The following is a 12,066-nucleotide window of genomic DNA, read 5'->3' as shown; positions in this document are numbered from 1 at the left end:
TGGGCTTACAGCAAAACTCAGCATCCCAGGGCTGCAGGACGATGGGTGCAGAGAACCCACAGGCTTCCAGACAAGAATCAGTACAAGGCAGACCCTGAAGATTTGCACTCAGGTTGCTTTGGACGAGCAGCACGGGAGTCACAGGACAAAACAGCACCTGCAGAATCCGAAGGGTGACGCCCTCCCGCCTGGAGTTCTGTGCCAGCCAGATGACCAGTCCAGGGTGGAGGTGAAGACAGTTCCAGCACGCAGGGCAGTGGGTTTCCTGCAATGCGCCCCTTTTGGGAAGCTACTAGAAGATCTATTCCATAGAAACAGGACAAACCAGAGAGCTGAAGAAATGAATTGCAGAAAATAAGAACCGGCTGGGAGCCGGGGAAAGGAACCCCAGAAGGATGATGATGGAGGTCCTGGCGGGCCGCAGAGGCTGTTTAATTTTATTGGAGGGATCCACCCTTCCTTACGGTGTAGGCTTTTTGTCTTGCCTAAAACGTTTTCCTGGGCCGGAGCCAGTGGCTCATACCTGCAATCCCAACACTTTGGGAGGCTGAGGCGGGAGGATTGCTTGAGGCCAGGAATTTGAGACCAGCCGTGGAGTTTGAGACCAGGAGTTTGAGACCAACATAGTGAGAACTCCATCTCTACAAAAAAAAACAAAAACAAAAAACTAATGAGCTGGACATAATGGTGCAAGCCTGTGGTCCCAGCTACTCAGGAGGCTGAGGTGGGAGGATCGCTTGATCCTGGGAGGTCGAGGCTGCGGTGAGCTGTGATTGAGCCACTGCACCCCAACCTGCGTGACAGCATGAGACTCTGTCTCAAAAAACAAGCAAACAAACAAATGTTTTCCCTGCCTCCTGTCACCTAAATGATGAATGTCCCTGCCTTCCAGGCAGGTTTTTAGCCGACTTGATTGATTTCTTTCACACCGTTGGAGGCAGGAATCTGATTTCACTGTTCATTTCCCAGTAGTGGTTTCTCTGGTTGGCGGCCGCCTGTGAGGCCGGCCCTTGCTTGAGACGGGGGTGGGTTCCCTGGGCAGGGGGTTCCCGATGGCACTGGCCGGCCTCTCCCTGGAGCAGCTGCCCTTGGAAGTGCCAGGGGTGAACTGCTGCTGTGACACCGTCCCCCTCACAGATGGCCCCTGGTGGGAGTGAGGACCACAGGGCCCCTCAGCTGGCTACCCCCAGGCCACCTGTGGAGGCCATCCCTCTTTGGGCTGGGGTCTGCACCCAGAGACCTGTGACCATGAGCTCCTTCTTGTCACCCAGATGAGCTGGACAGCCCTGCGGGCTGCGTTCCCCGCACTGAGCCCAGCACAGCTGCACCGGCTGCTGACTCACTACCAGCTGGCCTCGGCCATGGGCCCCATGAGCACCTGGGAGCCAGGGGCCCAGGACAGCCCCGAGGCCTTCAGGTCAGGTAAGCCCTGCCCCAGGGCAGGAGAGGGCTGGGGACTCAGTGGGAGACTCGCCCCGAGGCTGGAGGCAGCATGCTCTCATCCCAACTGAAGTGGGGTGTGGGGGACCTCTCTCCTGGGGACCTCCCTGGAGGAGCCTCCACCCAGAGGACCCCCCCGCCCCGCCCCATCCCCAACCTGGGGATCCGGGGACCTCCTCGGCGGGGGAGTCAAGGAGCCGAGAGTCCATGCCCAAGTTCCAAACTCCAGGCTCAGGTCCAAGGCCCCCTCGTTCCCTCACGGAGCCGGAGGATGGGGCCTCCCCTGTTGTATGGCTACCCAGGAAGGGAGCAATGGTGGTACACAGCCGTGGGGACGCATCCCTGAGCCATGTATGTGCACACGCACACACACATGTCCATACGGAGGGGTCTGTGTGCGCATACATGTGTACGTGCATACATAGGGGTGCGTTTTATTTTATTTTTATTTTTGAGACAAGAGTCTTGCTCTGTCATCCAGGCTGGAGTGCAGTGGTGCAATCTCAGCTCACTGCAACCTCCACCTCCCAGGTTCAAGCGATTCTCCTACCTCAGCCTCCCTAGTAGCTGGGATTACAGGTGTCCGCCACCACGCCCAACTAATTTTTGAATCTTTAGTAGAGACGGGTTTCACCATCTTAGCCAGGCTGGTCTCGAACTCCTGACCTAGGTGATTCGCCCACCTCAGCCTCCCAAAGTGCTGGGATTACAGACATGAGCCACCGTGCCTGGCCGAGGGTGCCTTTTATTGATTGATTGACTGAGACAGAGTCTCACTCTGTCACCAGGCTGGAGTGCAGTGGCTCGATCTTGGCTCACTGGAACCTCCACCTCCTGGGTTCAAGCGATTCTCCTGCCTCAGTCTCCCAAGTAGCTGGGATTACAGGTGTGTGCCACCATGCCTGGCTAATTTTTGTATTTTTGGTAGAGACGGGGTTTCACCATGTTGGCCAGGCTGCTCTCGAATTCCTGACCTCAGGCGATCTGCCTGCTCCTGCCTCCCAAAGTGCTGGGATTACAGGCGTGAGCCGCCACCCCCGGCCAGGGGTGCATTATAATGTGTAGATTATACACACATCTCCCTTCATCTGCATTATGTGTTAACACCTCAACAAAACAGAGTACGGGATGGCGGGAGGCGCAGAGGCGATGGGGCCTTGGATGCCCCCCCGCAGCCCCGGGTCACCGTGGAGAACATCTCTGAACAGGAACCCTGGCTCCACCTGACACCTTCTAAGTCCTTCCTCCGCATTGATTCATTTCTGTGGCCTGAATTCTGTGCTGGGAGCTAGGAGCTCAGTATGCACGCACTCTTCCGCCGCCTGAAAGGTGCTCCTGTTCCTGGGGGCAGAGAGCAGCCCGCACACAGGCCGTTTGGGTCCCGTGATTCCTGCAGGGAGGCAGTCGGCTCCAGCCCTGGGAGGAGCTTGCGTCCAGCTCTGCCGGGCTGGGGGAGCTCCAGTTACCCGGAGACACCATCAGAGACCAGTGGGGCAGAGACAGGCCCAGTGCAGAGCGGCTCAGTGGGGCTGGAGGGTTCCTGGCTACAAGGCCTTGTTCTCAGTCCTGAACTGCTCGGATGTCACACCGGGTGGTCGGCGGGAATTCAGAAGGGATGAGTCCTAGGGTGGGGCCAGTCACTGTGGCCAGGATCCCAGCCTCCTGTGTCCACAGGGCAGGGGACTCAGGGCTCAATCTGCTGGCCCCTGGGTTCCCACACCGTTGGGCGGGGCGGCCTGGCGAGGGAGGCAGCTTCTCCTGTGGCCATTACGGGCATCCTCTCTCCCCTGCAGAGGATGTTCTGGAGTCCTACGAAAACCCCCCACCCATCGTCCTGCCCAGCGACGGCTTCCAGGTGGACTTGGAAGCCAACTGCCTGGACGACAGCATCTACCAGCACCTGCTCTACGTCCGCCACTTTCTGTGGGGTCTGCGGAGCAGAGCCAGCCCCGGCAGCCCTGGCAGGCCTGGCAGTGGGGCCTCCCAGCCAGTGTGCCCCGAGGTACCCGGGGAGGGGGCCCCCCAGCCAGCGTGCCCCGAGGTGCCCGGGGAGGGGACCCAGCCAGCGTGCCCCGAGGTGCCCGGGGAGGGGGCCACCCAGCCAGCGTGCCCCGAGGTGCCCGGGGAGGGGGCCCAGCCAGTGTGCCCCGAGGTGCCCGGGGAGGGGGCCACCCAGCCAGCGTGCCCCGAGGTGCCCGGGGAGGGGACCCAGCCAGCGTGCCCTGAGGTGCCCGGGGAGGGGGCCACCCAGCCAGCGTGCCCCGAGGTGCCCGGGGAGGGGGCCCCCCAGCCAGCGTGCCCTGAGGTGCCCGGGGAGGGGGCCCAGCCAGTGTGCCCCGAGGTACCCGGGGAGGGGGCCCCCCAGCCAGCGTGCCCCGAGGTGCCCGGGGAGGGGACCCAGCCAGAGTGCCCCGAGGTACCCGGGGAGGGGGCCCCCCAGCCAGCGTGCCCCGAGGTGCCCGGGGAGGGGACCCAGCCAGCGTGCCCCGAGGTACCCGGGGAGGGGGCCCCCCAGCCAGCGTGCCCTGAGGTGCCCGGGGAGGGGGCCCAGCCAGAGTGCCCCGAGGTACCCGGGGAGGGGGCCCCCCAGCCAGCGTGCCCCGAGGTGCCCGGGGAGGGGACCCAGCCAGCATTCCCCGAGGTGCCCGGGGAGGGGGCCCCCCAGCCAGAGTGCCCCGAGGTGCCCGGGGAGGGGGTCCAGCCAGCATTCCCCGAGGTGCCCGGGGAGGGGGTCCAGCCAGCATGACCCGAGGTGTCTGGGGAGGGGGCCCCCCAGCCAGCGTGCCCCGAGGTGCCCGGGGAGGGGGCCCAGCCAGCGTGCCCCGAGGTGCCTGGGGAGGGGACCCAGCCAGCGTGCCCCGAGGTACCCGGGGAGGGGGCCCCCCAGCCAGAGTGCCCCGAGGTGCCCGGGGAGGGGGTCCAGCCAGCATGCCCCGAGGTACCCGGGGAGGGGGCCCCCCAGCTAGAGTGCCCCGAGGTGCCCGGGGAGGGGGTCCAGCCAGCATTCCCTGAGGTGCCCAGAGAGGGGGTCCATCCAGCATGCCCCGAGGTACCTGGGGAGGGGGCCCCCCAGCCAGCGTGCCCCGAGGTGCCCGGGGAGGGGGCCCAGCCAGCGTGCCCCGAGGTGCCCGGGGAGGGGGCCCAGCCAGCGTGCCCCGAGGTACCCGGGGAGGGGGCCCCCCAGCCAGCGTGCCCCGAGGTACCCGGGGAGGGGGCCCAGCCAGCATGCCCCGAGGTACCTGGGGAGGGGGCCCCCCAGCCAGCGTGCCCCGAGGTGCCCGGGAGGACAGGAGAAGGGTTGGAAGCTGGGCTGGGGGCAGCAGGCGGGAGCTCTGGGAACCCCGGGAGTCCTGGCCCAGCGCAGGCTGTGCTCCGGATGGCGGGGAAGCCCCTTTGCCTCTTGCGCGTCTCAAGCTGCACAGGCTGCGGGAGTCCTTTGCTGACCTCTGCCCCGCGGCCTGGCGGCCCTTCTGCTGCAGGCTGCCCAGTTGCCCGAGTGCTGTGTCCACCTGGCCACTCCTCTACCTGAGCTGTCACCCTTCCTCTCCCTAGGGTATGCACCACGTGGTCCTTGACGGGCACCTGGAGGCCCCGAGCTGCCCCCTGGCTCCCAGGGACCCTGGCCCAGCAGCCCGGGAAGTGGCCCCGGAGCGTACTCTTCCCTTGAGGGGGGCTCCCTGGGCACAGGCCCCCCCTGGAAGGCAACCCAGCCGTGGGGGCTCCCAGGCTGGCCCCCCGCACACGGACTCGTCCTGCTTGCTCACGCCTCCCAGCACTCCACTTGGCCCTGAGCCTGGGGACCCCGACTGGCCAGAGTCCGGCGGCCCCTGTGGAAAAGCGCTCCCAGAGAGGCAGAGGAACGGACTCAGCGGCCTCCGGGGTGCAGCTCCGGAAGGTGAGCCCTGCCTGGTGCTCAGGCGGGAACCCACCCCAGACCCCGCACAGCACCCTGATGGCCGGTCCCCTGGGATCGTTCCCCCCTTGGGTCCTAGGTTTCCTTACCTGCCCCACAGACACCTGCAACCTGAGACGGGGCCAGATGGAGAGGGCTCAGGGCTGCTCAGCCCCCAGCAGCTGGGCCACACGGTCGCTCAGTCGCTGACACGTCTTGGGCAGATACTCACTGTGATCTGGGAGGGAGAGAGTCTAGAAAGTGGCTCAGAGTCACTCCTGCACTGGGCAGAGGAAGGGATGGCTGAGCCAGTGGAGAGGATGTGCTGAGGGGGAACCCAGGGGTCTTCAGGGAGAAGGTGGAGCTGGAGTCCTCCAGGGCAGGGCCTGTGTGTGCCTGTGTGCTTGTGCGTGTGGATATGTGTGCTCACAGGTGCATGGGTGTGCTGGTGCGTGTGTGCATGGGTGTGTGCATCTGCATGGGTGTGTCTGCATGGTGTGCATTGTGTGTGCATCTCTGCATGGGTGTGTCTGCATGGTGTGCATTGTGTGTGCATCTGTGCATGGGTGTAAGTGCACGTGTGCATGGGCATGCTTGCACATGTGTGCATGGCTGTGAGTATATGTGTGCATGAGTGTGTGTGCGCAGCTGGCCTAGGCTGGGGAGGGCATTGAGGGTGAGGCAGCCCCAGCCGGCCCTGGCCTCCTGTGAGGGGCTTGGGTGTGCCTTGCAGGAGCGAAGTGTCCTGGGTGCGTGTGCAGAGTCAGAGTGTCCCCTGTGGCTTGGGGCCACCTGGCCAAGCTGGGTCCCAGGCAGGCCACTTGCTCAGGTGCACAGCTCATCTCTGACCTAAGTGCACCCACGGCAGGATCACCATTATGGAGAGGGCACCAGCTGGTGGCCCTCAGGGCAGGTGCTTGGGCTGGGCTGGGCTAGGGCCTGGGGCCCCGGTCTGGTCAGCGGTGGGAACCCTCAGGGTGCACATGGCCACATCTGGGTGTGGAGGGAGGAGGAGGAGGAGCAGAGATTGCTGAGGAGGTGGCACAGAACCGCGTGGGTCCCTGGAGCTGGAAAACAGCCGCCCCCAGAGGGGCGAGTGTCCTGGGACTGCCAGGGGCGGGGACTGAGGTGCTCCCTCAGGGAACATGGGGGTGTCGCCCATGGGCGGACCCCGACCCTAATGTCTGGGTTGCCGGTCACATTCTGCCTGAACAGCGTCTCCTGGGAGCCACAGGAGGCCATCCCATCCCTGACGCCCTACAGAGGCAGCCAGGCCAGGACATCCCATTCCTCGTCGTGATTCCTGGCGCCTCACTCCCACCCACCTTTCCTGGCCCCCACCCAGGAGACTCTGCAGCCCTTGCGGAGGAGTCCCCTCCAGCCCCGTCCAGCCGCAGCTCCAGCACCGAGGACTTCTGCTACGTCTTCACGGTGGAGCTGGAACGAGGCCCCTCCGGGCTGGGGATGGGCCTGATCGACGGGATGGTGAGTGGCCCAGGACCCTCGCCGCACCCCCATACTGGCTGCCTGGCCCCGCCTGTTCATGCAAGCCTGGCCGCAGCTTGCGTGGCCACGTGGCTACAGGAAGGCCTTCGGGGAGGAGAGTGGGGTTGGCCTCTGCAGCTGGGAGGGGAACCCAGCCTGTCCAACGGCCACGCCCCCTGGGCCTGCTGTCTCTTGCCTCTGTCCTCAAGCCTTTGGGGTCTGTCCTGGGCCTGTGGGGACGGTGGTGTCCACTGCTTTTCTGGAGGGACGCGTGAAACCATGAGTGGGCCTGGCTGGATGCCAGGCGGGGGCCTGTAGGTGCCAAGGGAGGGGCTGCAGTGGTCCTCGCTGGGGACAGCCAGTCGGGCCTGCGGAGCTCTGAGGCCTCTGCTTGTCCCCAGCACACGCACCTGGGCGCCCCCGGGCTCTACATCCAGACCCTGCTCCCGGGCAGCCCCGCAGCGGCCGACGGGCGCCTGTCGCTGGGGGACCGTATCCTGGAGGTGAATGGCAGCAGCCTCCTGGGCCTTGGCTACCTGAGGTACCCCCACCGCATGCACGCCCGGCCCCTTCTCCCAGATGCCCTGCTCAGGGGAGTGGACCTGGGGTAAAGGAGAGGCCCGGCTGCACCCTGTGGGTCTCCCCTGGTGCCCTCCTGCCCACCCCCACCTCTGGCATGGATTTCAGAGCTGTGGACCTGATCCGTCATGGCGGGAAGAAGATGCGGTTCCTGGTCGCGAAGTCCGACGTGGAAACAGCCAAGAAGATCCATTTCCGCACGCCCCCTCTCTAGGGGGGCTGCGAGGACACCCCCACAGGCCCGGCACCCGGTCCCACCTGGTGACACTGGGCTTCCTCCCGCCTTCGTCCCTGTTTTGTAACTGACCAAGTTGGGTCCCGGGTGGGGAGCCTCACCCTGGGGACATGCCTGTTGATAACATGCATCTCAGTGTAGGTTCTATTTATATGGCAGATGACGTGAAATTGTGATGTTTGTTACAGAGCTTTTATGTTTAAAGACTTCAATGGAGAAGTACGGTTCAATAAACTATTTTTCCCGTTCTTAGAGGGTGCCCTGCTGGGGTCTCAACTCGGGCAGCAGGCGTGGGCTGCTCGGAGGGGCCGCAGGGGCTCCCCATGGCCTCTGCCTGCCACCGGCACGGGAGAATGCAGTGACAGCTGTCATCAGGGGATCATCTGAACTGACTCTCCCTGCCCCCGTCCCACCCAGACACAGGGCACTGCAGGAAGCAGCTCCAACAGCCCCTCCCAGCTGAAGCAGGGCCAGACCTGGCAGAGGATGCTGGACTTCTGATCCCGCTGCTCAGCACAGGCCCCAGAGAAAGGTCTAGACACCCAGGCGTTGGAAAGTGGACCGGCCTGATGGTCTCTGAGGCGCCGAGCCCACCCTGGGCCCTGCTTCCTCTCCCAGGACTCCTGCTCCCTCCTGAGTTCCTCTCCCCTACTAAAGCCACCAGCGTGGCCCTGATACCAGGCTGGCGGCCCCAGGCCCTTAATCCTCACCAGCGTCCCCCTGGCCACCGGCCCTAACCCGGGCAGGAGGCCAGCGTCCCTCTCCACCAGCTGGCTGACCATGCGCAGGACCAGGGCAGGGCACTTGCTGCCTCGGGGTGACAGCGTGGGTCGCTGGGCATCCTCAGCAGCTCCACCAACTGGGTGTGGGTGGCTTCCGCGCCCTCCTGGCTGTGGTGGAACTGGTGGCCCAGGGTCATCTTTGATAGCAACAGAGAAACCCTGGGGAAGAGGGTCCCGGCATCAGTTGCAGATGCACCTCTCACTGGGACAGAGGTCTGTGCGGGGTCCCCAGATCGGTGTCCTGGGTCTGTCCCAGGCCCTGGGCCTCGTGCAGCTCCACGCTGCCCCCTGGTGTGCGCTACGGCGAGGTGCAGCGCGTCCGCCCCGCGCCCTCTGCCGACCCGCAGTTCTGTGTGCGGCTCCGCATTGCGCCTGGCTCGAAACGGCGACCACTGCCAGGTTCCCAAAATACTGGATAAAATATATATATATATATAGTGTTTGTATATATATTTAAGATATGTAAAATATATGAATATATATAAATATATAATTATATATGAATATATTACATATTCATGTATACGTAATATATTCGTATATTTTATAAACATTTTTTATATTTTATTATATAAAATATAAATATTTAATTTTTTTTTATGAGACGGAGTCTCGCTCTGTGACCCAGGCTGGAGTGCAGTGGTGCAATCTCAGCTCACTGCAACCTCCACCTCCCAGGTTCAAGCAATTCTCCTCAGTCTCCTGAGTAGCTGGGATTACAGGCGCCTGCCACCACGCTTGGCTAATTTAGTACTTTTAGTAGAGACAGGGTTTCACCACGTTGGCCAGGCTGATTTCAAACTGACATCAAGTGATCTGCCCGCCTTGCCCTCCCAAAGTGCTGGGATTACAGGCGTGGGATTACCATGCCTGGCCTTGTTCTGTTTCTTTTCCTAGGAGTCCCACAACGTGTGTGTTAGCACTGCCGAGAATGTCTCACAGCTCTGGACGGTCTGCATTTCTGGACCTGGTGCAGATCCCAGGATCCTGGACTCTGATTTGATGCCTTAACGGTGGAAGGGGGTTGAGTATATTTTTTATGTGGGAGGGGTGTGGACTGTGGCCAGAGGAAAGACAGTGGCAAGGCATTTCCAAAGGTGGCCACCAACAGTTCCTCCCACAAAGAGAAGGGGGCTTATCTCTTCTTCCCTGCAATATTCTCCGGCCTTCTGACTTGCTCCGAACAACAGGATGCAGCATAAGTGATATTCTGGGACCTTCCAAGCCAGACTGAAGGGCCTTTGGTTTCTATTTTCATGCTCCTGGAACTCAGCATCCATGGAAAGAAGCTCTTGGCATCACCCCAAGGAAGGGAGGCCCCGTGGAGTCGGGGAGGCCCAGCTAGCCTCTGGCCGCTGAAGCACCTAGCTGAGGTGCGGGACTGGTGAGGGCTGCCACTGGCTGTTCTGGTCTTGCTGAGCTTCCAGGCGAATGCAGTCCCACCAGTGATCCCGGGGACACCACGTGGAGCAGAACGACTTCCCAGCCAGGCCCCAGACAATCTACAACACTGTGAAAGGTAACACTTCTTATGGGTGTTTTGTTTTTTGGTTGTTTTGTTGATGGAGTTTCACTCTGGTCACTCAGGCTGAAGTGCAATGGTGCAATACGGCTCACTGCAACCTCCGCCTCCCAGGTTCAAGTGATTCTCCTGCCTCAGTCTCCTGACTGGGATTACAGGCACCTGTCAGCACACGCAGCTGATTTTTGTATTTTTAGTAGAGACCAGGTTTCACCATGTTGGCCAGGCTGGTCTCAAAACTCCTGACCTCAGGTGATCTGCCTGCCTCGGCCTCCCAGAGTGCTGGGATGACAGGCGTGAGCCACCGTGCCCGGCCTGTTTTTGTGTTTTAAAAGCATTTTATTTTGACATAATTATAGATCCAAAGGAAGCTGCAAAAATAGCAGAGTCCCGTGTACCTCCACCAGCTTCTCCCACTGCAAAACCTGAAAACCGACGTTGACTTGTTACTATTAATATAGCAGTTACGCTTTGTACATATTCAGTTGTCACCACTTTTTAAGTTAAAGTGGAATTCACATAGAGTTAGCTATTTAAAGTGTATAATTCAATGGCAAGCAGCACGTTCACAGTGTTATGCAACCATCACCACTGTCTAGTTTGGTCACCTCCAACGGGGAAAACACGGCCACTAAGCAGGCTCTCCCCATTCCCTTCTGCCCCTAGGCCCTGGCAACCACAAACCCACTTTCTGCCTCTGTCTACACCTCTTGTGGATATTTCATGTAAGTGTTATCAGAAAGGGGTCCTGATCCAGACCCCAAGAGAAGGTTCTTGAACCTCGAGCAAGGGAAAATTCAGGGCAAGTCCATAAAGTGAAAGCAAGTTTATTAAGAAAGTAAAGAAACAGGCCGGGCACGGTGGCTCACGCCTGTAATCCCAGCACTTTGGGAGGCCGAGGCGGGCAGATCACGAGGTCAGGAGATCGAGACCATCCTGGCTAACACGGTGAAACCCCGTCTCTACTAAAAATGCAAAAAATTAGCCGGGCGTGGTGGTGGGCACCTGTAGTCCCAGCTACTTGGGAGGCTGAGGCAGAATGGTGTGAACCTGGGAGGCGGAGCTTGCAGTGAGCCGAGATCGCGCCATTGCACTCCAGCCTGGGCAATAGAGCAAGACTCTGCCTCAAAAAAAAAAAAAAGAAAGAAAAGAAACAGGCGCAGCGGCTCATGCCTATAATTCAAGCATATTGGGAGACTGAGGTGGGTGGATCACCTGAGCTCAGGAGTTCGAGACCAGCCTGACCAACATGGTGAAACCCCATCTCTACTAAAAATACAAAAATTAACTGGGTGGGACAGACGCGTTGGCTCACGCCTGTAATCCCAGCACTGTGGGAGGCCAAGGCCTGACCACCTGAGGTCAGGAGTTTGAGACCATCCTGGCCAACATGGTGAAACCCCGTCTCTACTAAAAATAGAAAAATTAGCTGGGAATGGTAGCAAGCGCCTGTAATCCCAGCTACTCAGGAGGCTGAGTCAGGAGAATCACTTGAACCTGGGAGGCGGAGGTTGCAGTGAGCTGAGATTGTGCCATTGTATTCCATCCAGCCTGGGTAACAGAGCAAGACTCTGTCTCAAAAAAAAAAAAAATAAATAAATAATAAAATTAGCTGGGGGTGGTGGCACACACCTGTAATCCCAGCTACTCAGGAGGCTGAGGCCGGAGAATTGCTTGAAACCAGGAGGTGGAGGTTGCAGTGAGCCGAGATTGCATCATTGCACTCCAGCCTGGGCAACAGGGCAAGACTCTGTCTCAAAAAAAAAAAAAAAAATGGCCACTCCAAAGGCAGAGCAGCAGCATGAGCGCTAGTGAGTATATTTAGAGTTATTTCTTGATTACATGCTAAACAAGGGGCGGATTATTCATGAGTTTTCTAGGAAAGGGATGAAGATTTCCTGGAACTGAGGGTCCTTCCCCTTTTTAGACTACATAGGTAACTTCCTGACGTTACCGTGGCATTTGGAAACTGTCACTGCGCTGGTGGGAGTGTCTTTTAGAATGCTAATGAATTATAATTAGCAACTAACGAGCAGCAAGGATGACTAGAGATCACTGTCGTTGCTGTCTTGGTTTTGGCCAGCTTCTCTACAGCATCCTATTTTATCAGGAGTGTCTTTGGGACCCGCAT

The 12,066-nt window shown here is 60.1% G+C and overlaps 1 protein-coding gene across 1 annotated transcript in view, besides 1 other annotated feature; it reads left to right on the top strand.

Moving 5' to 3' along the window:
- The window catches only part of RADIL (Rap associating with DIL domain), an 86,662-nt gene extending 76,729 nt beyond the window's left edge, over positions 1 to 9,933 (top strand). Inside the window, exons 10-15 of the mRNA NM_018059.5 lie at positions 1,272 to 1,422; positions 3,234 to 3,442; positions 4,993 to 5,335; positions 6,678 to 6,817; positions 7,219 to 7,358; positions 7,505 to 9,933. Of these exons, the coding sequence (NP_060529.4) occupies positions 1,272 to 1,422; positions 3,234 to 3,442; positions 4,993 to 5,335; positions 6,678 to 6,817; positions 7,219 to 7,358; positions 7,505 to 7,610 (1,089 nt within the window). The 3' untranslated portion in view covers positions 7,611 to 9,933. The remainder of the gene's footprint in view (positions 1 to 1,271; positions 1,423 to 3,233; positions 3,443 to 4,992; positions 5,336 to 6,677; positions 6,818 to 7,218; positions 7,359 to 7,504) is intronic.
- Positions 8,761 to 8,810: a silencer, noted in NCBI's record as "silent region_17904". NCBI's record gives its function as "represses an Ori minimal core promoter by ATAC-STARR-seq in GM12878 lymphoblastoid cells {active_cell/tissue: GM12878}" and the evidence as "EXISTENCE:reporter gene assay evidence [ECO:0000049][PMID:35858748]".

Source organism: Homo sapiens, chromosome 7, assembly GCF_000001405.40.
Source record: "Homo sapiens chromosome 7, GRCh38.p14 Primary Assembly".
NCBI classification, from domain to species: Eukaryota; Metazoa; Chordata; class Mammalia; order Primates; family Hominidae; genus Homo; species Homo sapiens.
This window is presented reverse-complemented; position numbering and strand designations above follow the sequence as displayed.